At 39.8% G+C, this 26,575-nt stretch overlaps 1 protein-coding gene across 5 annotated transcripts in view; it reads left to right on the plus strand.

Annotated features, from left to right (window-relative positions):
* CACHD1 (cache domain containing 1) overlaps positions 1-26,575 on the plus strand; it is a 222,925-nt gene that overhangs the window by 164,406 nt on the left and 31,944 nt on the right. For all 5 annotated transcript variants that reach the window (NM_020925.4, XM_047426234.1, XM_047426235.1 and 2 more), the window contains 6 exons: positions 7,286-7,435; positions 13,267-13,500; positions 17,627-17,776; positions 19,224-19,347; positions 20,152-20,269; positions 24,171-24,339. In NM_020925.4, the coding sequence (NP_065976.3) occupies positions 7,286-7,435; positions 13,267-13,500; positions 17,627-17,776; positions 19,224-19,347; positions 20,152-20,269; positions 24,171-24,339 (945 nt within the window). The remainder of the gene's footprint in view (positions 1-7,285; positions 7,436-13,266; positions 13,501-17,626; positions 17,777-19,223; positions 19,348-20,151; positions 20,270-24,170; positions 24,340-26,575) is intronic.

Raw genomic sequence — 26,575 nt, forward strand, 5'->3', positions numbered from 1 at the left:
CACCACGCCCAGCTAATTTTTATATTTTTGGTAAAGAAAGGGTTTCACTGGCTGAGACCTGTCTGATCTCAAACTCTTGAACTCAAGCAATCCACCTGCCTTTGCCTCCCGAAGTACTGGAATTACAAGCATGAGTCACCGCGACCAGCGTAGAGGGATTAAAAAAAAATTGATTGGGGGCGAGGTGCGGTGGCTCACGCCTATAATCCCAGCACTTTGGGAGGTCAAGGCAGGCGGATCACAAGGTCGGGAGTTCGAGACCAGCCTGGCCAATATGGTGAAACCCCATCTCTACTAAAAATACAAAAAAAATTAGGCAGGCATGGTGGTGGTTGCCTGTAGTCCCAGCTCCTCGGGAGGCTGAGGCAGGAGAATCACTTGAACCCAGGAGGCAGAGGTTGCAGTAAGCCAAGATCATGCCACTGCACTCCAGCCTGGGTGACAGAGCAAGACTCTGTCTCAAAAAAAAAAAAAAAAAAAAAAGATTTGGGATAAAATTGTCATATGTTGTCTTCGTCATCATCTAATTATAGAGTGTTAACTGCGTTTTTCTCATCTTTTCCAATCAAAGATGGTCAGTCTGTACAATTTCTTGACTCTTAGAGCCTCCCCTTCCTGCCCCTTTATTTAGATCATGTCTGCACTTATGTCCCAAGGGAATCTCCACATCCTTTCTAATGCTGATTGTCAGCTTTGCTTCCTCTTTGACTTGGAGTGGAAGTCTGCTTGTGCACATGTGGACGTGAAGTGGGCAGCAGGAATTCTTGCCTTGATCCTTCCTTCTTCTAACCAGCTGTCATTTAGATGAGCATGGCCCTTCAGATGTACAAAGGCACTCTAATTTAATTTTTTTTTTTTTTTTTTTTGGAGACAGAGTCTCACTTTGTCACCCAGCCTGGAGTGTGATCGCGCAATCCCGGCTCACTGCAACCTCCACCTCCCGGGTTCAAGCGATTCTCCTGCCTCAGCCTCCTGAGTAGCTGGGATTACAGGCATGTGCCACCATGCCTGGCTAATTTTTGTATTTTAAGTAGAGATGGGGTTTCACCATGTTGGTCAGGCTGATCTTGAACTCCTGACCTTGTAATCCCCCACCTCGGCCTCCCAAAGTGCTGGAATTAGAGGTGTGAGCCACCACGCCTGGCCTCTAATTTAATTTTTATGTATTAAAGAAAATCTGGAATTAGGATGCATCCTAAAGTAAGGGAAAAGATATTTGAAATGGGGCTCATGCTTTGAAACTACTTGAAGGAATCTATTTCATTTTCCCTTTTATTTTCAAAAATCTGTTTATAGGCTGGGCGCGGTGGCTCATGCCTGTAATCCCAGCCCTTTGGGAGGCTGAGGTGGGTGGATCACAAGGTCATGAGATCAAGACCAGCCTGACCAACATGGTGAAACCTCATCTCCACTAAAAATACAAAAATATAGCTGGACATGGTGGCACACGCCTGTAATCCCAGCTACTCAGGAGGCTGAGGCAGGAGAATTGCTTGAACCCGGGAAGTGGAGGTTGCAGTGAGCCAAGATTGCGCCACTGTACTCCAGCCTGGTGACGGAGCGAGACTCAGTCTCAAAAAAAAAAAAAAATCTGTTTATAGTTTTTTTCTTTGTTTGAAAATATTAATGTATCCTATTGAGATAAATTTAAAGAATACATTTCCAAGCCCTTCATTGTGTCTGTGTTTAAACTAAGCACTGATTAATGCAAAGCATAGTGCCTCGCACATAATGGATCCTCAAAAGAAGGAAGCTACTGTAATTATAACTAATGATGGTACATGGTGTGTTAGTTTTATGTCTCAGCATAACAAATTACCACAAACTTAGCAGTTTAGCACAATATACATTTGTTATCTCACAGTTTTTGTGGGTCAGGAGTCCAAGTACAGCTTAGCTGAGTCCTCTGTTTAGGGTCTCACAGGCTACTGTCAGAGTGTCAGTGGGACTACCGTTCATTCAGAGTCCTAAGGTTCATGCTAAGGTTTGTTCATGCTAAGGTTCATTCATGCTAAGGTTCAACAAACATGAGCTCACACGTTTGTTGGCAGAGTTCATTTCCTTGCAACTGTAAAACTCATTTCATTTACTTCTTCAAGGCCAATAGAAGAGCATCTCTTCAAATCCCTGGCTTCAGAGAAGGTTTGGGCCCTCTTTTAACAAGCTCATCTGATTAGATCAGCCCCACTTTCCCTTTTGATTTATTTAATCAGATTACTCTCGCTTGTGATTAACTCAATGTAAGTTTATCAGGGACCTCGGCAAACATCCATCCATCTTTGCAAGCACCATCACAGGAGTAATGGCTCATTACTTGCCATATTCTTCTTCTTAGAAGCAAGTTACAGGTTATGTCCCGTATACAGGACATCCTGTATATTCAGCAGTATACAGGATGTTGCTCATTTAGATCATCTTAGAATTTGGCCTACCAGCTTTGGCAAGCATCAGCTATCCACAAGCCAATATTATGGGGTGGCTGAGCGTAAAGTTGCCCTTGGTTCAGTAAGGTCAGTTAACAAGGCTGAATTCAAGTACTCAAGGCAGATTGGCCTGTTTGTCAATGCCACCCACCTGTCAGCATTCCTCACTAGAAGTGTTCTTTCTACCAAATTCTTCTGTCATCAGACCATCTTTAAAGTCTAGTTTTGATTATTATACTTTTCAAATAATGGAGAGAAATGTTAGACTAGCAGTTGCAAACTCAGATGTCCACAGTGGCCAGGCAGCGCATTTGAGTCAAGTGAGCTGGGGGAAGGTAATGAGGATGAGTTGGAGAACATGGTCACATGGACACATGCACCATCCAGAGGGTAGCTGCTCCTCTGTTCAGTCCATTGAGCAGGAATGTCTGCCCAGTGCTGCCAGATCTTCTGTTTCAAGAGATGCCAGAAATCTGGATTTTCATGTGAAATCCCTTGATTTTCAAATGTTGACATTTGTTCCAGCTTTAAAACTGTGAATAGAGACCTCATTAAATCTCTTCTCACAGACATTCCTGCACTGCACATGAGCAGGAGGCTGGTTTGATGAGAGGCATTTCTCCTCTGGATTTTTCTGTGTTGTTTTTCTTAATGTTGGCAAACAAAAACATGGCAAGAAGATTGACCATTAAAGACTTGGACAAATTTTGAAGGCACAGTTTTCTAAATACTCAGAGGAGCCCTTTTTAGCCCAAGTAAGATGTTTCTAAGGCTTAGCTCACTGGCCTCTAGTTTATAGCTTTTACTGACAGTTTAGAGAAAAAATAACCTAGATTAGTTTGTATAAAGAAAAGACTTCAGGAATGAGCGTTGTCCAGTTTATTAAGGAGCAGTCCCAGGGTACTCTCAGGCAATATTGCCCAGGAGTTATGCAGGTTATAGATTTCAACTAGTGTTCTACTCTGAAATTTTTCTAACCTTGTGGATTTGTCTATATTGTTTTATTTTCTCCAGACCTGGATTCCTCACCTGTAAATGGAGGGGTGATAATATCCAGGATTCCATCATAAATATCCAATGCATATTTCCTGTGATTATTATGATATTCAGTTTCCTATAAGACTTCTAGCTCCAGCTAAACTAGATCAGATGCCCTAGATGTCCTAAGTTGACCTCAGGCCCAAAGATGGCCAAGGCCTAGGCAACAGTGTAGCAAGGGGTCTGTATACACTTCCTAGAAGTTTATTCTAGTGTAAACTCTATACATCACTATTTCTCTTCACTCTACAGACAATTATTTAATGTCTACTGTATATCTGGTGCTGTTTTAGGTGCCACATGTGAGGTTATTCAAATAATAAGACCTACTCTTGACGATTGTTGTAAGGGTTAGTCTGTACATGAAAGTAAAGTGTATGCCCACATTGGTAGCCATATAAAAATAAGCTACATGTCATAAATCATTGTTGGTTGACACTAATTTGCCTTATATCAACCAGAAGGTCTAAAACTTTTGTCCAATTCTGACCCTTTTTTCAGTCTTATGGTAGATCTTTAACTGACAGCATTAACATCCTGGAGTTGTTTCTTCTGAATTTGTTTTGGAGCTGATTAGTTGAGGATCATAATGAACCTCAATTAAAGATGGTTAAGAGTGGAGATCTAATGGTATGGGCAAAGCCTAAATATGAGTCGCTCTTCCCCTTTTGATGTTGACCCCAAGACATGCCTGGTGGCTTATAGAGAGACTCAGCAAATGGAGAGCTATTACATTTTCTTCCAGTTACATGCTGCATCTCTGCTCTACCCCAAGTCCCTGTAATTGCTTGCCCCTAAAATTGCTCTAAGTGGGTGACTAAAAAGGGAATATCCCAATGCATTAAAAAAACAAATCAAACCAAATTTGACAGATCTGATAAGAATGGAAAAATAACTCAATTTTTCTTGAGGATAAGGTGGGAATGGAGTCAGGGGTTGGACAGAGCCAGCGAGGATTCTTACAGAGTGTATGTCTTATTGTTGGAATGGAAAGAAAATGTGCTTGGCTACCAAAGCAGCTCAAGGGCTGCTAGCTTTCTGGCCTTCCAGACATGGACCTTTGCCCTAGAAACAGCTCTAAATGACAGTGTATTTTATGCAGAATCATAAGGCTAAGTGAGACAACTTAGAGACTAGGGTTCTCTTTTAGGTCACCCTAGATGTGTCCAGGAATTTATCACACATATACTTTTGCCATGAGGAGATGGTTTGTGTCATACCATAGATCCTCCTCATGCTGTATCTATGTATATATGTTCCCTCCAACTAGGGACTCAAGCAATTTTTGTTTTTGTATTTTTCAGTCTGAAGTTTAAATGAACTGTTTAGGGTCCTTATAAAATAATTTACTGAACTGTATATACAACTGAAAAAATATTGACATCTGGTTTGTTGACATCTAATTTAAGACAAGAATATTCCTAAAGTGTGGATTTTCTTTTTGCATCAGCATTCACTTCCTAATCTCTGATAACTAAATAGTGAAATTTAAATGTGCAGTTAATGTTCACTAGAGAATGTTCAGGTATCAAAATTGGTATTAAGTATTAGGAGTAAATAAGAGGAATTTTGAATGCATTTATTTCTTAGAGTCAAATTTTGTTAAACTCAGTTCAGTTATCTATGACATTCATATATTATAAGTTAACTGTTAAATTCTGCCTAATAAAGAATACTTAAATCTAAAATGGAAATGTATAATTTGAAGGAAATTCAAGTTTTGTGTCTTCACCATTAGGATAATTTTTTAAAGGGTAGCTATATTCATTAACTATTGCTGTGTAACAAATTATTCCAACACTCTGTGGCTTAATACATCTTTATTGTCTCATAGTTTCTGTACTTCAGGAATCTGGACACAGCATAGCTGGGTGCCTCTGGCCCAACGAGTTTCTTGAGACGGCAGTCAGCCTATTGCCCAGAGCTGCTGTCTTCTCAAAGTTCTACTGGGGAAATAGCTGCTTCCAAGCTCACTCACACTTTTGCTGGCAGGATCTTCAGTTCCAGGGGCCTCTGTTCCTTGCCTCTCCATAGGACTGCTTACAGCCTGCCAGCTGGCTTTCTTCAGAGTGAGAAAGCCCCCCTTGCAGAAGCCACAGTCTTTTTGTAACCTAGTCTTTGTCTTGATGTCCCATCACCTCTGCCGCATTCTAGTCATTATAAGTGACTCACTAAATCCAGCCACACTCAAGGGAGGCAGCTACCCCAGGAGGTGAATGAATGTCAAGACATGGAATCACTAAGGGACCAAGTTTGAGGTTGCCTGCCGCAGTCACTTTAGAGCAACCTCAACTAAAACACAATAACAGAAACCTGAAGAAGTAAGTGTATAACATATTATATAAATATTTCTCAGTAAAAAGATAAATATGTAGGATGTCCTAAAAATTTTTATTGAGGCCAGGCGTGGTGGCTCACGCCTGTAATCCCAGCATTTTGGGAGGCCAAGGCGGGCAGATCATTTGAGGTCAGGAGTTCAAGACCAGCCTGGCCAACATGGTGAAACCCCATCTCTACTAAAAATACAAAAAATTAGCCAGGCATAATGGCACGTGCCTGTAGTCCCACTACAGTAATCTGAGGCATGAGAATCGCTTGAACCCTGGAGGAGGAGATTGCAGTAAGCTGAGATCATACTACTGCACTCCAGCCTGGGTAACAGAGCAAGACTCAGTCTTAAAATATATATATATACAGACACACACACACACACACACACACACACACACACACACACTCTCAACATTATATATATATATATATATATATATGTTAAATCAAAGAATTACAGATTAGGAAGAAGATGTAAAAGTCCAGCTCTCTGACTTCCCTCTTTTTATTGTGGTCATTTAGCCTCTGCTTATTTATCTCTAATTGTAGGAAATTAATCACCTTTGTTTTTTTTTAGTCAACCCACTTGACAGAAGTTCTACGGGACCAAAATTAACTCTCAGTTATTCTACCTCGCAGCCCTATTTGGAAAATAATTTCACTTCTAACTCAGGGGTGCTCCTTCAATCCAATGGCATGGTTTTTGTTTTCATTTTGTGTGTGTGTTGTAGTTTCTTTTTTTTCTCTTTTACCTTCTTTTTTTATCACCTTTTTGCTGATAGTCTTTACGTAAAATAACCAATTATTCTTCACAGCAACACTACTAAGTCAGTCCTGTCATTACTCCCATTTTATAGACAAAGAAAATTAGTTGTAGAGAGGTTGAGAAATTTGCCTCAATTACCCAGACACAGCTTGTAAGTAGCAGAGCTGGGCTTTGAACACAGTTACCTGGCTTCTAAGTCCATGTTTCACTGCTCTACTGATGAGATTTTTAAATGAAAATTACCTAAAGATATTTAGTCTAGGAGCAAATAACATTATGTGCCTGAAGAGCCCGAAAGAGTCATCATTTTAAAGCCTGGTCCTCAAGAAACGAGCATTCATGGTGATGTTCCTGCATCACAGAGGAAAGGATAAGTCGCGTTCTGCATCATCTGTTTCAGAAGGCAGGAGAGATTTCCATTTGGATTGGCTTAAATTACTATAACCATTGGTGCCTAAAGGAAATCGCCTCCTTTCATCTGATAAATATATTAGGAACATCTCCTTACCTGATGCTGCATAAATGTGGCCTCATTGTCCAGAAAGGGTGGAATGGAAGAAAGGCAGAAGCAGGGGGATGAAAGCCACAGCATCAAACAGGAGGGACTAGGAACCGTGGGCTAGGCAAGTCCTCGAGGTGGGGAAGTCCAAGGACATGAACAGGAAACTGAACTGCTGCCTTTAGCTGGAATCCAAAGAGAGCATTCAATTGATGTGTTTTTGTTTAGATACAGACATGGTCATCATTTACCTGTCAGCTGGCATTACATCAAAGGACTCTTCGGAAGAAGATAAAAAAGCGACTCTCCAAGTCATCAATGAAGAAAATAGCTTTCTAAACAACTCTGTAATGATTCTCACCTATGCCCTCATGAACGGTAGGTAGAGTTTCAAGATATTCCTTTCAGATCAAAGATCCCTCTAAGTGTATGCTGCTTTAAAAAGAAGAAAAAGAATCATAACAGTGTGCTTGGATGAAGGCTACGGGAAAAGGCAACCAGGCGGCTCTTTCTCTACCTGATGTTGGTATTTAGGGTGTGTAAGGAGGTTCCTTTCTCTTCATCTGTCTCTCCAGTGAACTGCTTGTTTCTAAACCTCTTCTCCACTTACGTGGTCTTGCAGAGGATTTTATACAGCGTCCCCCTGCCCCACCTTTTTTTTCAGTTCTCCTTCATATTCTAGGATTATCTAAGGTTTTAGCTTATCTCATTGGTTTAAGCTGCAGGAAGCCAAAGCACTGACCTAGATTCTTCTGCACAACCCAATCTGTGAATATCACATTTTCCTGCAGAATCACCACCTGAAGCCTCTTCTGCCACTTTCTCCACCTCAGCTTCCTTAGCTGTAAAATGGAGATAAGCATTATCTACCTTGCAGTGTTGTTGTGAGGATTAGCCTTAATGTACAGTAAACAACTTATTAAAATGGATTGTGCTGCTGTCGAATGACAGAATGTAAAAGGGTTTAGTAAATTGGTAAATTCAAGCTACTACTACATTTTTTCCCTTCTGCTATTCAACCTGTCCGCTAGTCTGAGTGCAGCACAGTTTTCTAGCTGTATTGTATCTCTCCGCCTGTTAATACATTGCTTTTCTCCCATGACATCTTTAGGCCCATTGCCCTCAGTATTCAAAGTGGCCATCTTCTCTTGTGTTTAAGAGGCCGTGTCTTGGCTGGACACGGTGATTCACGCCTGTAATCCCAACACTTTGTGAGGTCTCGGTGGGCTGATCACGAGGTCAAGAGATCAAGACCTGGCCAACAATGTGAAACCTCGTCTCTACTAAAAATACAAAAATTAGCTGGGCGTGGTGGTGTGCGCCTGTAGTCCCAGCTACTCGGGAGGTTGAGGCAGGAGAATCGCTTGAACCCAGGAGGCAGAGGTTGCAGTGAGCTGAGATTGCAGCACTGCACCCCAGCCTGGTGACAGAGCAAGACTCTGTCTAAAAAAAAAAAAAAAAAAAAAAAAAAAAAAAAAAAGCCATGTCTTGATCAAGCAGTCTTTCCCACCTACTATCTTTTGTTTCTCTTGTCAACTGTGAAATTTCCATGCAGAACCATGTGGTTCAGGGACAGTGGGCCTCATATTCTGATGTGCTAAGGGTTCCTTGGGGAATGGCTTTAAAATGCAGATTTCCAGGCATTGCTCTCAGATTCTTATTCAGATCCTCTTAGGAGGGGTTCAGGAATCTACTTTTTGGCCAGGGTGATTCTCTTCCAAATGATTTCTAGACCACACTTGAGAGAACACAGGTTCTGATGTCTAGTGGTCCTTAGCTGCTGTCCACATTTGCTAGTCGTTTGGCTTATGGCAAGTTACTTAATCTCTTTAGACTGCAGTTTTAGCTGTGAAATGAAAAATAGTAAAATCTACTGCATAGGGTTGTTGTAATAATAAATAAGCAATATATGATTGTGTTTAAAGTTCTTAATGTAGTACCTGGTAAAGAAAGTGTCCTCAAAGACCGAGCTCGGTGGCTCATGCCTGTAATCCCAGCACTTTGGGAGGCCAAGGCGGGCGGATCACGAGGTCAGGAGATCAAGACCATCCTGGCTAACACGGTGAAACCCCATCTCTGCTAAAAATACAAAAAAAATTAGCCAGGCGTGGTGGCGGGCACCTGTAGTCCCAGCTACTCGGGAAGCTGAGGCAGGAGAAAGGCTAGAACCCGGGAGGCGGAGCTTGCAGTGAGCCGAGATTGCACCACTGCACTCCAGCCTGGGCGACAGAGCAAGACTCCAAAAGAATGGTCCTCAAAGCCAGCATAAGGAGTTTATGAAAGCTTATATGGTTTCCTGTCTCAGACAGTATAGCTCAGAGGTGGAGCTCTGCCATCCAGGGCCAGATCTCTGTCCAGTCCTCTTTGTCCCCTGGCACTTTCTGCCTAATTCTGACAAGCATGTCTCCCATTATACTATAGTAAGGTGCTCACATACTGTCCTCTCTCTCTTCTCCCTCCACTTTCCACAAGAATGTGAACTTCTCAAGCATGAACTATGTCTTAGTTTTCTTTGCATTCTGAGCGCTTAGCACAGGACTGAAAGCAGCTGAAGTGGGTGAGGGTGCCTGGGCACGTGCCCATCAGTGTTATCTCTGACCACCTGTTGCTCTTTTCTCCTTTGTGTTGGATTCTTTCATTCATGAGAGGTAGGAAGGGTGGGAGAAAAGGAGGAAGGGAGGAAAATAAAATTTACTGACCACCTACCATGTACAACACAGGGTACTGAGGTTTCAGAGCTGTATTATACAAAGTTCCTGTCTGCAAGATGCTTATGACCCAGTGAGGAAGATAGGTAGACATGGAAGATGAATGAAATTCAATAGTAGAGGAGTAAGGAGGCCCAAAAGGAAGGGATCACTTCTCTTCCATTAGATTTGAAGGTCTGCCTGGGCAGATACTTCTTTACTTCCTTGCTGTCACCCATTCCTTCACTGGTCCTAAATTCTTCAACCAGAGTCTCTTACACACTTTCTGTTACAGTAATTCCGTACTTTAGAGTCTCTAGTTACTTCCATCTCAGCATCTTTTTCTCTTCTCTTTCTTCCTTTAATCTAACCAGACACACATCCTCACTGCCAGTTTTCTCTCTCTTTCTCAGAACCCTATTTCTAAGTGTAATTCACTAGAGTAGACACAATTAACCTTACTTACAAATAGGGAAACAGATTGACTAAGAGAACTGGAATAAAGAATTTGTTGTCGGCTAAAAATTAAAACACTTGGACCAGGCTCAGTGGCTTACGCCTGTAATCCCAGCACTTTGGGATGCCGAGGCAGGCGGATCACCTGAGGTCAGGAGTTCGAGACCAGCCTGACCAGCGTGGTGAAACCCCATCTCTACTAAAATACAGAAATTAGCCAAGTGTGGTGACCCATGCCTGTATTCCTAGCTATTCAGGAGGCTGAGGCACAAGAATCGCTTGATCCTGGGAGGCAGAGTTTGCAGTGAGCCAAGATGGCACCACTGCACTACAGCCTGGGCAATAGAGTGATACTCTGTCTCAAAAAATAAAATAAATAAAACACTTGAACTACAGGAGATAAGAGACTGGAAAGGGTACCAGAGAAGTTGGGGGGATTGGGAATGGTTGATGGGTAATCATTGGTAATGGTTACATTCTATCTAACAAAAATATAGTTAGATAGAAGGAATAAGATCTAGTATTTGATAATATAACGGTGACTGTAGTCAATAGTAATTTATTATATATTTTAAAATAACTAATACAGTGGAAGTTTGATGTTTCTAATAGTACAAAGAAATCATAAATGATTGGGGTGATTCATACCTCGATTACTCTGCTGTGATTATTACACATTGCACAACTGTATCAAAACATCGCATGTACACCATAAATATATACACCTGCTATGTACCCATAAAAATTAAATTTAAAAAAGAGTTTATTGTCAGAATTAGAATGCACACAATTGTGGGAGAAACTGGGAGAAACTGTGGGAGAAAAAAAAATAAAAGACCCAAGATGGGGAGGTGACATCTCAGAAAGTTTAGTAACCAGGTTGGGGCCTGCTGGGAAGTCTAGAAGCTAGGAACATGGAAGATTACTTAGGAGACCTGGTGTAGAAGTCCATGGAAGGTTGTTGGCTTTTTGTGGCTGCCAGCCCCCGTGCATGCTCAGTGAAGCATCTGGAACATGGCTGGGGTTGCTATCAGTGAGCAGGTCAGCAGCTGGGAAAGGGAGCTGAACACAGAGAAGAGTAGGACAAACTGGAGCATTCTGGCCCCTCAGTGTCTGTCTCTGACCACTTCTTACTGTCCCCTAAATCTCGCAGTACAGCCCTCACTTTTTGCACCTTTAACCTGGTAGCATACAAGAAAAGAGGATCCTGGGAAATGTAGTTTCTAGCATGACCATGTTGATAATAGGCAACCCAGCGTACTTACCAATCAGCCACCCTACTGACCTTCCTGCCATCCCTACATAACATCTCATGATGGAGTAACACCTCATACTCAATCCTCCATAACCTTCCATCCCACGCTACTCTTCTTTGCCTAGTAGATATTGTTTTCTTTTATGTTTTGAGAGACTCAAGCAATACATGACAAAGAAGGGAAATTTAGTTATTGCTCGAGTTTTCTTCTTTTATTGTTTTACTTCTGTGAGCTTCTCAAGGATATAAGGTCAGGTACCAATCGTGTCTTTGGTGTTAACTTTTACTCTGGAGTGTACCCCTCACTCCCCATCTCAGCTCTGTGCCGTGCAAAGGGAACAGTAATCTGATTCTGACTTAATTTGGCCCAGGTATTTTTTGCTTTCCTTTAGCATTGCATGAGTGGAGCAAAAGTCAAGTTTATTTAAATATAATGTGTTTTAAGAAAGAAATGATTTGCCAGGCATGGTGGCTGACACCTGTAATCCCAGCAGTTTGGGAGACAAGGTGGGCAGATCACTTGAGGCCAGGAGTTCGAGGCCAGCCTGGCCAACATGGTGAAACCCCGTCTTTACCAAAAATACAAAAAAAAAATAGCCAGGCATGGTGGTGTATGCCTGTAATCCCAGCTACCCGGGAGACTGAGGCATGAGAATCGCTTGAACCCAGGAGGTGGAGGTTGCAGTGAGCCAAGATTGCACCACTGCATTCCAGCCTGGGTGACAGAGGGAAACTGTCTCAAAAAAAGGTGGGGGGTGGGAGAAAGAAATTAATATTTATTTTATTCTGCCATGATTTTAGAAGTGGACTTCCAGTGCTACAAGTATGTACACTCTCTATGTAGAAATGCTAAAGACATATGTGGTAGATGAACCATGAAAGCTTCAGATTCTTTTTAATGATTGAATAGTTCATGGTTTGGTATTGAAATCTGCAAGAACATGAGACAAAACCTTTTAAAAAGGCAGTGGTAGAATCTCAGTAGTGACTGAAATCATTTTGAATTTGTTTACAACAGTCCCCATATGCAATCAGTTTCTAATCCTTTTGACTATGTTCCAACAATAGCAAACTAAAAAAAAAAAAAAAAGTGTATTAAATTTACTTTTGTGCTATAAATTACAGATGTTGTAGAATAATACATCCCAGTATGCCTAAATTTTGTACAAAGTTTCAAAACCCTCTAAATGTAAAAAAATTTGTATTAAGTAAATCAAGTTCAGTATTATCCTAACAATATCAAGCATGAATATGTTTATAATTAAAATGAGCTTAAAGAAACAGGGTTTGGAGGCATCAGTAAATGCAATCCATAATTCTTTCATTTAGTTGCATGGCAGCTAGACTTTGGCAAGTGGTTTTATAGGTGAAGAAGTAAGGAATGAAAGGATCACCCTCTGTTCTTTAAAACTCTTACAGTTTCATCTACTACATTAAATTAAATGCAGACGTGTTGATTATTACTTTTGCTTTTAAATATTAAATGCAGAAAATGAATTTTCATTTTATAATTAACTTTTGGGGAGAACACATTCTTACTGAATGGGACTCCTTTATTTGCTCATTTGTTTTTCATTATCGCCCTGTGAAGAGTCCCTTTCCCCTCTTGACTATTTCAGGAAAGACTATGCCTCAGGCTTTGTTTCCTCAGCAGGAACTGGTATTTGTGTCCAGAGTCTATGTGGTCTCTGCAAAAACCCCTTTGGTATTACAAGACCTCATCCATGCCCGTATTTGATCTAAATGGCAAGAGGTTGAATGGATATAAACCATTTTGCTTTCCGTGGTCTTCTCTCGGCTTTCCATTTTAGATGGGGTGACTGGTTTGAAAGAGCTGGCTTTTCTGAGGGATCTAGCTGAACAGAATTCAGGGAAGTACGGTGTGCCAGACCGGATGGCCTTGCCTGTGATTAAGGGCAGCATGATGGTGCTGAATCAGTTGAGCAACCTGGAGACCACAGTGGGCAGGTTCTACACAAACCTTCCCAACCGGATGATTGATGAAGCCGTCTTCAGCCTGCCCTTCTCTGATGAGATGGGAGATGGTGAGTTTGGATAAACGTCATTTTAAAGGAAGGGGAAAAGAACTGGGCAGATAGAAATGGCACCTCTTTCTCAGGATCATAGGGTTTCTTAGCACCCCTGCCACCTGTCCTATATCTCTGTATTGTACAGCAGAAATCCCCAGCCCAGGTTCTTCCTTATTACCCTGGCCATAGTACACATAATGGATGTATCCTCTGGGGAGGCTTTGTGAGGATTCTCGAATATCCAAAAGTTTGTGAATTAGAACTAAAGGGTAGCTTTGTATCATGGCACATGGGAAATGAAGCTCAGAAGTGCTGAGGATTCAGCCTCAGAGACAAGGCAACGTGGCATCATCGCACAAACATGGGCCTGGCCTCAGGTGGGCTTTCAAATTCCATTCTTCCACTTGAGGTGTTGTCCTTGGTAAGTTATTTAATGGTGTTAATTCTCCATTTGGTCACCTGTAAAATGGGATAGTAAATCTTTCAGATTATTAGGATTAACTAGATAACATATATGACCTGTCATTATCTAGTTAATCTAGGATTACCTAGATATTATAAAATCTATGATAACACATGACCGGCATACCATTCAGTTATAATTACTGTTTTTATTTCATTTATTAAATGTATTTTACCTTTGTTGTTATCATTGTTATTATTACTAACATCAGCATCACCGTCATCCTGATGCCTAAGTTACCCATAACAGGATGTTGAGTAAAGTACTGAACCTTCACAGGATTCAATTTCCTGACCTATAAAATAGAATCTGGAAAATATAACAGAAAATACAACATTTTCCTCAAGGCAGTTGTGAAGATTAAATGCAATAATAATAAAACATCTAGAACAATGCCTGACTAACAGTATATTTTTAGTAAAAGCACAATCTTTTTCTTTTCCTCCTCCATGTTCTTACTTTTCCTTTTCTCTATATCCTCCCCTTTCTCCTTCCTTGACAGAAGAAAATTGAAGAAGTAGCTAATTATTAGCCAGACAGACACCATTGCCATTTGAGATATTATATTTATGTTTTGTTAGCTAGGAACTCTTACAAATACGGATTTTTTTTAAAACTCACGTGTAAAAAGTAACAAGCCTATAGAGAAGGTGTTTTCTAGAAACTAGGTAGACATTCTCTTTCTATAAGGAAGAAATAAGCCAACTGCCATTATGTCTCAATTTTTATTTTTAAAGAGACAGGGCCTGTCTCACCCCGGCCGGAGTGCAGTGGTGTGATCATAGTTCACTGCAGCCTCGACCTCCTGGCCTCAAGCAGTCCTCCCACCTTTGCCTCCTAAAGTGCAGTTGTGGGCCACCATCCCCAGCCTTGCTTTTTTTAATCACTCCTATTACTGTCAGGGACTACAGATGTATATAGAATGGAAACTCCCACTTTTAGATAAGGTTATTTCCCTTTTTAGTGAAAATATGAAGTCCTGAATGCAAGTTACCTTTTATGCATGTAGCTTACATTACTGAGTGCCAGCCAAGCATTGTGCCAGGCAGTGATGAGTGAGGCTCACCTCCTACCCTCAGTAAGCGTAAGTCTGATAAGAGAAAGACAAATCAGTAATTCCCGTTAATACTGTGTGAAAGGGACAAAGGATGACGTAGAGATCCAGTTTTTCACAAACTCAGATCATATAGCCAAATTCTCTTACTGATAGTGGTATCAGGTAGAGTGGAACTCCCTCCTAAATCCAGAGAGCTACCCTGAATGCTTTAAACCAAATCACATGTAGAACTTTGGCCACCTGTTGCCTGATACCATCCAAATTTTGCTCCTTGGGGCCTGTGTTATGAATCCTGTGCAGTGGATTTCAGTGATTGGTTTGCAGATCTATTGAATTCCTCTACTAGAGTGTGTCTGTCTTTTCATCTTTGTGTTTTCAGTCCCTAGAATTATTGAGTGCCACATCCTCTGACTCCATGACATGAGGCTTGATTCTAGGGAAACCCATGTTTATGTGGCTCTAATTCAAAACCTACACAGATTAAAATATCAGTTACTGAACATATTTCTTTTTAAAAAGTAAATCTATGTGCTTTAGGTTAAAGTACAGAGAGTGATTGAGGATTTTGTCAATATAACAGGAGCTTAGCATACTTTATTTGCCATAATGGGATCAAGAGTCTTCTGTCCCAGTTGATAATTGAAAAGTAAGATTGTGTTTCTTTTTTAAGACTTTGTTCTCAACCTGTCCAGAGGAGAATAGAAATTTGAAGCGAGCAGGCATCTCAGTCACAGAGTATTTCTGTTGTACTTTACTGATCTATGAAAATGGCTTTAATCCTAGACTAAAGCTCAGGGGACTGTGGTGGGCAGATTGTGACCTCTGTCTCCATGCTGGTCCTCACAGCCTGCTCCTGCCGCTTACAACCTATTTATCCTGGGAGACCTGGGAAAAACCTTCTCCAAAATGCATTTCTAAAACCTCCTTAAATACATGTTATTTTTAAACATTTTAAAACAGATAGCATTCTAAATGTGAACTGCTTAAAAAATGCTTTTGAGACCAAAATAGAGACCCGTTGCATGACTTTTCAGATGCTTTTTCAGTGATGTATCCACTTCTTCCTATCAAGTGATGCATTTAGTTGGCCTATGCAACCATAGCAACTCAATAATACCTCAAGTGGACATCATATGCAATTCTCTGTGTAGAAGCTCATTCTTTGTAGAAGCCTTCAGGAGTTTTAAATCCCTTTCCTGGGGGTTTCTAGAAGAATGGCTTTCTGATAGGCTGATAGACATCAAGCGCAGGAAAAAACAAAATCAAGATAAAGATAAACAATCCATCTTTTTGTTTAGAGTTTTCTTTAGAGCCATAGGATTGTGAAATTGTTGGGGATCGTAAAGATCATTTTATCTCACCTCCCCCCGCCCCCAACCCCAGCCATCTGATGCATGGAGAGTCTCATTCCAAGACGTGGCACAACTTACCAAACCCAGCAGGGAAGCCAGGAGGAGAAACCAGGTGTCTCGATCTCGGGGCCATGCATTGACCCACCTCTCTTTCTACATTTTCCTCCTGTGTGCTTTGCCCTTTCCCTAATTATCCTATTGTTGTTGTTGTTTTTAATGGCCTGTTACCTAAGTACGGTCTTTATATTTTGAAAAGGTTATTTTTTATAAAAAAACAACAACAAAAATTATGCACTAGAGACTGTGTAGCCCACAAAGCCTGAAATATTTCCTGTCTGACCCCTTACATAAAAATTTAGGAACTCCTGGCCCGAATGACTGGAAATACATTCCTTTGGAAACTTAATTTCTCCTTCAGCTGCTTGAAGTTCTGTATGTTCAGATACTGTACCTTTCTAAATTTTTTCCCCTTGTTTTCACCTTTTTTTAAAGGATGCATTAATGGGGTATAGTAATAATACCTTTTAAGCATTCCTTTATCCATAGTCTCTTTTGATCTAACATTTCCTAGAAATCAGTAAAGCAGTTAATGCTGTGTCCTTTAAACAGATGTGTGAGCCAGACACAGTGGCTCATCCCCATAGTCCCAGCTACTTGAGAGACTGAGGAGGGAGGATCACTTGAGCCCAGGCAGTTGAGGCCACCATGAGCTATGATCGCACCACTGCATTCCAACCTGGGTGACAGAGTGAGACCTCATCTCGAAATATTAAAATTAAAAAAATTAACAGATGTGTGAACCAAGGCTCAGAGTAGTTATATCCATTGTCACCTGTACAATACAAAAGGGGTACAGCTGGACTATTAAGTACAGTTTTTAGATTCATTGTCCATTGATCTTTCAAGTTCAGCTGAATCTAACTGCTTCACAAAATAGAAAAATGTATTTAGTGTTGCTGATGTTTTGCACTGATCTGGAAGGTCTTATCTTTTTAGGTGAAAAAGTAGTGGAAAACATAGAAATTGCCTCCTTTTAAATTAACTGCGCTATCTGAGCTGCCAAAGGACGCTCTTTCCCTCCCACTCTAACTCATTTATTAGGCTGTCTGCAAAGGCAATGCTTGATTACTGGACCACATGGGAAACTTTTCTTCCAAACAAAATTGAGACAGCTGATAGAAGCCTTCATGATTCACCGGAGCACAGTTCCAGTCTTTGTCCAATTCCTTCTCTGCTGGTCTTTAGATTTATTTTGTTTTTAACCCATAGGTTTGATAATGACTGTGAGTAAACCCTGTTATTTTGGAAACCTACTTCTGGGAATTGTAGGTGTGGACGTGAATCTGGCTTACATTCTTGAAGACGTGACGTATTACCAAGACTCTTTGGCTTCCTATACTTTTCTCATAGACGACAAAGGTAATCTGCTAAATGTTCATCCTAAGAATACTTTTTTAGAAACCTAAAGAAAATAAGGTATAGATATTCTACAAACAAAATAGGAAAATGATAGTGTAAAGAAGAGCATTGTGACTAAGATTGCTCATTTGTAGTAGAACACCGTAAAGATGGCAGAGTGGATCTCCAAATTACACATGTGTTTCTCTGTTCTTTGAGGGGTAGGGAACGGTTATTTGTAACATCAGGAAATTAGACTGGAGGATTGAATGACACATAGAATGTCATCCTTTGACCTGAACAGATAACTTTTCTAAAGAAGAAATAATGCAGCCAACAAGCCTATGAAAACAATCGCAGTATCCCTGATCATTAGAGAAATGCAAATCCAAACCACAATGAGATGCCATCCTACACCTGTCAGAATGCCTATTATTAAAAAGTCAAAAAATAGCAGATGCTGGCAAGGTTGCAGAGAAAAGGGTACACTTGAATACTCTTAGTGGGAATGTAAATTAGGTCAGCCATTGTGGAAAGCAGTGTGATGATTCCTCAAAGAGATGAAAACAGAACTACCATTTGACCCAGCAATCCCATTACTGGGTGTATATATGTACCCAAAGGAATGTCAATCGTTCTCTCATAAAGACACCTGTATGTTCATTGCAGTGCTATTCACAATAGCCAAGACATGGAATCACCCTAAATGCCCCTCAGTGGTAGACTGGATAAAGAAAATGTGGTACATATGGAATACTATGCAGCCATAAATAAAGAATGAGATCATGTCCTTTGCAGAAACACAGATGGAGCTGGAGGCCATTATCCTTAGCAAACTAACTCAGGAACAGATACTGCATGTTCTCACTTATAAGTGGGAGCTAAATGATGAGAACACATGGACACAAAGAGGAGGACAACAGATACTGAGGCTACCTAAGGGTGGAAAGCGGGACGAGGGAGAGGAGCAGAAAAAATAACTATTGGGTGCTATGCTTAGTACCTGGGTCACAAAATAATCTGTACAACAAACCCCCGTGACACAAGCTTACCTATATAATAAACCTGCACATGTACCCCTGAAGTTAAAAGAAGTTAAAAAAAAAAAAAAAAAAAAAAGAAGAATGTCATCCTTTGGATCTTTTTTTTATTAAATTGTTATCTTAGATTTATTGGCATTAAGATTTATGTGGTAGATTAGAATGTTTTATAAAACAACAAAACAACCAATACCTCCAAAATACTCTTGATGAGACAGATGTTTGATAATTTAAGACATCTTTCTACGCCTCAAGAGTTTTATGTAAGCACATATAAAACAGGTTCAGTTTTTACTGGACTGGTGAGTTGCAGAATGAGAAGTTGAGTATCGGGCAGCCAGCCCAGAGTACCCCATATTTCAAAACAGTGATTCAGAACTTCCTACAACATGTTTCTTATTAACATGCATTTTGTTTTCTTATTGCAGGATATACACTTATGCACCCATCTCTTACCAGGCCATATTTATTGTCAGAGCCCCCACTTCATACTGACATCATACATTATGAAAATATTCCAAAATTTGAATTAGTTCGGCAAAATATCCTAAGGTAAGGAAAAGGTGAGGGTCATAGGATTGTTTTTCCCTGAGAATGGGACCCATCAAAGCCACATACGAGTATTTACTACAGAGTATAAAACAAGTGTATAAATTATTTTAATGTTATCAAAAGTATTCTCAGTAATGTTTCCGTAAGAATAGCACCCAAGATTTTGCTTACTTTGTATCACAGATAAGGTGTCTTAGAACTATTATTTGACGATAATGTCTTGTAAATCAAATTTTATGTTCACATTGACTTTCATTGTAAAATCAGATATATTTCATCTCATTTTCAAAAAAAGTTCCAATGATACCAAATTGAAAAATGTTGGCAAAATAAAAGGCTAAGTTGAGGACCAGCTTTGTTGCATTTGCCAAAAAATAGCCTGGCAAAGTAGCGTCCATTCCAAGTTGACAGCACAATCTTATACATTGTTTTTTCTTCAAATAAAAAACAGATTGGATCTTTTCCAACTGTGATACATTATTTTGGCAGATGGTAACCTGTAGAGGAATGGGTCTTTGTGCTCATTGGTTGAAAATTAATGACTGAGTGATTTGAGACAAGTTAGTCTCTGGAAAGAATTAGAGTTGGGGAGCAAGGATGGAGAGTAAGGGATGTTTTTAATGCAGAGCTGACATAATGCTTTTACGCAATTGAAAATCTCACATTATCCTTTCAAAACTGATGAGCTTCTTTGGTATTCGAAATCAGGAGGTGGCCATTGACTCAACAGCTTCTTCCTTGCCTTTAATTAAGTGCTTAATTTTATCTTTTGCCTGAAATATTTAATTCTGTTTGCCAACACAGCCTCCCTCTGGGCAGCCAGATTATCGCAGTCCCTGTGAACTCATCCCTGTCTTGGCACATAAACAAGCTGAGAGAAACTGGAAAGGAAGCCTACAATGTTAGCTATGCCTGGAAGATGGTGAGTGAGAGGAAGTTGTGTTTGCTTGAAGAGCTACAGGGTACAGTGCTCTTCTTCATGTTGGAATTCTCAGCCAGGGGGTGGCACTTGGGTCTGATAATTTGTCTCGTAATGTGACTAATCAGTTTTTAAAGTGATTGGGAAAGAAGACATTCCACAGGTGTTGTATAATTATTTTTCCTTTTTTGTTTATAAAACTGATAATTGTTCATGATGAATTCATCAAACCATATAAAAGGATGTAAAGTAGAAAGTAAACTATGCCCAGCCTGGACAACATAACAAAATCCCATCTCTATAAAAAAATGTAAAAATTAGCCAGACGTGGTGACACATGCTTGTATTCCCAGCTACTCAGGAGGCTGAGGTGGGAGGATTGCTTAAGCCTGAGAGGTTGAAGCTGCAGTGAGCCATGCTAGCACCAAAACTATCTACTTCCTTCCTTCCTTTGACTTTTCATTCCCCATAAGTAGCCACTTAAATCAATTTCCAGAAAATGTGTATATACAGGCAGGTATATATATTTGTGTGTGTGTGTATACGCTCACCCACGGCTTTAATGGCTATATAGGATTGCATTGTGTAGATAACCCAAATTTCTTTAAACAGTCCCCTATTAATGCACATTTAGATTACATCCAGTTGGTTTTTTTCAGTTCAACTCAGATTGTGGAGGTTGGGAGTTTAAAAGGAGACATGAAAGCATAAGTACCTTCCGACATTCTCTAAGGAAAAGAAAATTTTAGATTAGAAATTGGATTATTCATGTTCAACACAAGCAGATGGATAGTTTGGCCATAACTTGTGGCACCCATTTCTGCTTTCTCTTACCAGATTCTTTCAGACACCAGGCTTCAAAGAATCATAGAGAAAGCGTATCTAACACACACTGTTCATGTTACCTGTGTTTCTCTTCTCTCCTCTTCCTTCCCAATGTAGCATAGCAGTGCTGTTGAAGGACCCTAAATACTATAACTGACCAAAAGGGGAGTAGAGTTTTACTTTTATCATCAAATTTTAATCGCTGAACATAAAATGCAGTCATACATGAGATTTTTCTTGGATGGACAAATCAGATGTTTAACCTGTTGACTCCAAATAGATCCATTTAATCATCCCTTTACAAACTACTTATTGAACATTTTCTGTGTACTAAGAAGGATAAAGAAGATTGACACTCTCTCTGCCTTCATAGAGCATCGAGCCTAGTGGTGGATGCAGACAAACAGCAACTCGATACAGTGTCTGTGCCTGTATCAGTTGGATCAGGAAAGATAGGAATTGGGAGTAGCCAGAATGCCTTTAGGCAGGAGTCTCTTCCAACCTTCTTGTTTGGTTCTTAAAATATCATTATGGCAATAGCAATTACTAAAATGCAAATGAAGCAAACAAATTAATAAATGAAACTATTTGAGAAACTTATGTTTACAAGCCTAATTCTACTGGTAGTTTGTTGTTTGGTAATACACATTTGAGGAAGGTCAAAGCCTATTTTGAAATTCTCTTAGCTGACTTATTTTCAGATTTTTCTTTAGAATGATAGCACCATCTGCCCTTATATTTATATCATTTTTAAAGATAAATTATTTAATTTTCATATCAGAAAGGGTGAGCCGGCCACCAAAATTCTCAATTAGAAAACAGACTTTTGTGTTTGAAATTAGAGATTGTTTACCTCCAACATATTCTGATTGAAAGCAACTCAGTTACATCCTGGGAAAATATCTGCATGGTTGCTGGCATTAAAAGGGAAAGAAGGAAATGTAGGCATTTGTCTGACCTTCTTGATACAGTAAAGAGCCTCAATGTTAGTGGGGTTTTTTTCAACGATGCTAGTAAATTCTGGTTATTCTTCTTAGGCAAATTCGAGGTAGTAATCAGGTAGTCACTTCAGGTAGCAGTGTTAGCTTTCTCTGAGTTCTAAAATTGTTGAGCAGATCCCTGTAAGTGAAAACTTAAGGAGATAATAAATAATGAGATTGGAGACTTAAAAAAAAAAAGGCTAGGCTGGTTACCCAGTAATAAGGGCAAATATTTTTAAGATCTCTTTAGTTACTTTGTTGGGGAGGAGGGTAGATACTTATCTTGTCCTAAAAAATAAAATGGTTTCTTCTAATATAATCCAAATAGAGTTAGCTTATCCTAAGGACAATTGCCTAAACTGCTTAGCACTCATAGATATAGCAGATATTGAGGGATTATTTCACTGAATTAATTTAAATATAACTTGAGAGATTATGTTAGCAGCATTAAGAGATTACTCCATCACTGTGTAACCCAAGTGCATTTTTTAGCACTTTAGGAGGCTGTTTGCTCTGATAGAAGTACTGACTATTAGAAGGTATTCACATGTTCCCATGTTACACAGGCCTGCTTCACTTCAAAACATGGATCCCATGTTATAATCAGTGAAAAAAACCCACTCCCAACCCATAGAGAGCCCTTCTAGAAATAGAGTTCCTTTTAATGTAGAGACTATTTTTTTCAGCTAAGAACATGACAGAAAGACCTATATTGAAATCTGCTTTCCTAAGAACTGTTTATAAAGTGCTACTTTTAGAAGCTTACGGTAACTTTATTTTTCTCTTACAGAATAGACCCAATTATAAAATTATTTTCTAGTCATTCTGGTAGGGTTTTGTCTTTTGGTTCCTTGGAACACACAACATAGGAAAACAAACTTAAAAGATGACTGTGAGATTGAAAAGAGAGAAAATAGTAAATGCCACTTCAGAGCACCTTGTCAATTTATAATTTGGGGAATGGAGGAAAAGGATTAAATTTGTTAATCTAATTGAATATCTTTGCCAGCAGTACTTGAAAGCAATTCCAGGAAGATGCAAATTGCTTCTGTGTTTAAGAGTCTACAACCATCCTCACAAATCCTAAATTTCACTTAACTCTAACCTGCCTAGTTAAAATTTTATCCTTCATCTTTTACTTTTATTTCACTAAGTAAGTCACATGAGCTGCTTTATAAGGCACCGTTCTTTAGTTCTGATTTCGCTAGTCATCAACTTCTTCATTTATTTATAAACCATCTTTAAATAGGTTCAGTCTTTCTTCTAATAGGATAATAATCGAGAAATTTCTTTTACTTTTAAGTCTTTCTCAAGTGGCTAGAACTAGGTAGATTGGCTTTTGATTCTGTGGTGGACATTGTCCCCACTAAATTTTGTTGAAGCATCCATTTCTAGGCACAAAGTGAATCTGAAAATACTACTGTTTCTACATATGAGCTTAATAAGTTAGACTTAAGCTATGGCATACTTGCCTACCATGGTCTGCAATGACAAATCAGGCTGACTCTGCAGGGATGCCATAGGATTTGTGTTTTTCATGAGTTTAAGTAGTGATGTTGGTCATTTCCAACCAGGAGAAGAGAAAGCATTCGTTGGAATAGAATGAATGAACTGGATTCTGTATTGGCTGCTCCTCAGTCCTTTCTTTTAAAGTGAGAATTCACTACTGGCTTGAAAAATAGTCAATTCTCAGAACACTTATTGCAAAACCAATTATGTATTTTTAAGTGCATTTCAAATCCAAATAGAAATAAGTGTTATATTATTATGTCCTGTTCTAGCTTGTGCTCATTAACCCACATTAGCAAAAAAAGACTAGGGTCACAGTTTCAAAGGGACTCCTTTCTTATCCTTTCGTTAGCCCCATGATTTTCTGTTACATACTTCAGGTCTCCTCAACAAGAAAAGAAAACAGAAAATACAAAATTAGATACCTTCTATCACCCTATCCTCATGTCTTCATTCATTCATCCCATATTTAATGAATACCTTCCACGTGAAGATAGAAGGTAGAGGCAGTAGAAAATAATGTATGCAAAGTCCCTGTCCCCATGGAACCCTCATTTTCTAGGTCAGAAATTCTTTATTGATTTTTACAGGTACAAGACACTTCCTTTATTCTGTGTATTGTGGTGATACAACCAGAAATACCTGTGAAACAACTGAAGAACCTCAACACTGTTCCCAGCAGCAAGCTGCTGTACCACCGGCTGGATCTCCTTGGCCAGCCCAGTGCTTGCCTCCACTTCAAACAGCTGGCAACCCTAGGTAAAGCCCTTACACTTCCTTCACATTCTTACTCTTAGCAGCTCACTGTAAATATCCTTTTGAATACCATCCACCCCACCCCTCCAAAAAAGATACTGAATGCCTGCAGAGTCAGCTGGTTTGGGGATACAAATATGAAAACGATTTGAAGCCTGGCCTCAAATCAGATCGTCTAGCAGACTCTGAGACAAGGTTTCGTGTGCTCGCGATTTATATAGGATGGGCTTTGAGAAACCAGTGAAGAAGTGAGAAAAACAGGACAAGGAAGGCAAAAAAGACAAGTTTGATGTTGAGTGAAGTTTTAAGTTCAGCCTGGTCTTCTAGGGGGTCTCTGGAGTGTAAATTACACCAATAGAGTTTGCCCAGACTCTAAAGAGAGCTCAACTTTCACATTTCTTAGTCACTTTCAACTTTCTTCTAGTGCTAGGTACAGAGTTTTCAGTAGCCCTAAGTCCATAGAGAGAGGCACAGATACAGCCCATTAAAGGTAAACATGTAAGTATGGGGATATTGAGGTGGGGTGGGGTAGAATAACAGTAAAAGGCCTCCAAAGGAATCTATGTAGCATATCAGCAGTAATCTACCACAGATTCCTATCTTCAAAAGGGCTTAGGAATTCGAAGATAATTCAAAGGAAGCAAAAAGGAATTTACATTTATTACGTACCAGATGTTTTTTATTTTTCACCTGAGTTGACATGTGATTGATTTGGGTTTACCAAAGATAATTTTCCCCCAGATAACATAAAATATAGCAAAGCTGAGATTTGACCCATGCACCTCTGCTCTGCCATGTGCCAGACACATACTAGGCATTCGTGGTCTATGTTGTCACCAAACCACAGTATACTGACAGTACAGTAAAACAGGTATTCTCTTTTTCACTGTTGAAAAGACTTAGGGTTCAAAGCAGTTAATAACGAAGAATCATCACACAACTGGCCAACTGAGAAGAAGGGGAACAGATGGGAATAAAATCAAGGCTAGAAGTCTGCAGTCTCTAGATTCCAAATGATAGCACTCGTGTTTGTGTTCCTCTCTTAAATTCCATCCTCGAGAGTTCTGCCTGGACATGAGATCAGAAGAGCAGGCTGGACTAAGTGGTCTCTTCTGGGATACCTCCCAGCAGTGTTGACAATTTGGATAGAGCCAGTGATGTTGATCCAAGAAGGCAGGATTTTATATTTCTTTGTTTTGATTTGGTCTTTGGGGTTTTGTTTGTTTTTATACAAAAAAGTATGTTTAAAAATTTCATATTTTTAAGAAATGCTTTACTGAAACACTGATGTGTAGAAGCCTCTTTTAAGTTCTGTGTGAGCAAGCTACTGCTGGTGAAAATTAGGTCACTGTTTTGAAATTTGAGACAATAAATTACAATAGTTTTCTTGATGAAAAAGAAGCTCAAGCCTAGATTTTTTATTTCCTTTGCATATCTCCCATAGCTACAGTTTCCAATATGGCAGCCACTAGCCACGTGTAGCTATTGGGCACTTTAAATATGGCTCATCCAAATTGAGGTGTATGGTAAGTGTGAAGTTCATACTTAATTTTTATATTGATAACATGTTAAAATTATAATGCTATTGTGGATATACTGGATTCCATAAGCATATTATAAAAATTACTTTAATACTACTTTTTGCTTTGCTTTTTTTTTTTTATTTATTTTTACTTTGACAGGGAGTTTTGCTCTTGTCACCCAGAATGGAGTACAGTGGCACGATCTTGGCTCACTGCCACCTCCGTCTCCTGGGTTCAGGTGATTCTTCTGCCTCAGCTGCCTGATTAGCTGGGATTACAGTTGCGCACCACCACGCCCGGCTAATTTTTGTATTTTTAGTAAAGATGGAGTTTCACCATGTTGGCCAGGCTGGTCTTGACTCCTGACCTCAGGTGATCCTCCCGCCTTGGCCTCCCAAAGTGCTGGGATTACAGGCGCCACTGTGCCCAGCCACTTTTTGCTTTTCTTAATGTGGCTACTGGAAAATTTTAAATTACATCTGTGGATCGCATTGCATTTCAGTTGGACAGCAAGCACTGCCTCATAGAGATTATTCAGATAATGTATGAACTTAATTATTTCATATATGATTAACAAGCAGACCATAGGCCAGTGTCTGACTTTCACTGGGAGGTCTTGGCACCCTTCCTCACCTTGATGGTAAGGCCCCAGGACAAGGTGGAGAGGTAATCAAGGGCATCTTAGTTAGGATCAGTTGGCAATGAAAATGAACCAA

This window comes from Homo sapiens, chromosome 1 (genome assembly GCF_000001405.40).
Source record: "Homo sapiens chromosome 1, GRCh38.p14 Primary Assembly".
NCBI classification, from domain to species: domain Eukaryota; kingdom Metazoa; phylum Chordata; class Mammalia; order Primates; family Hominidae; genus Homo; species Homo sapiens.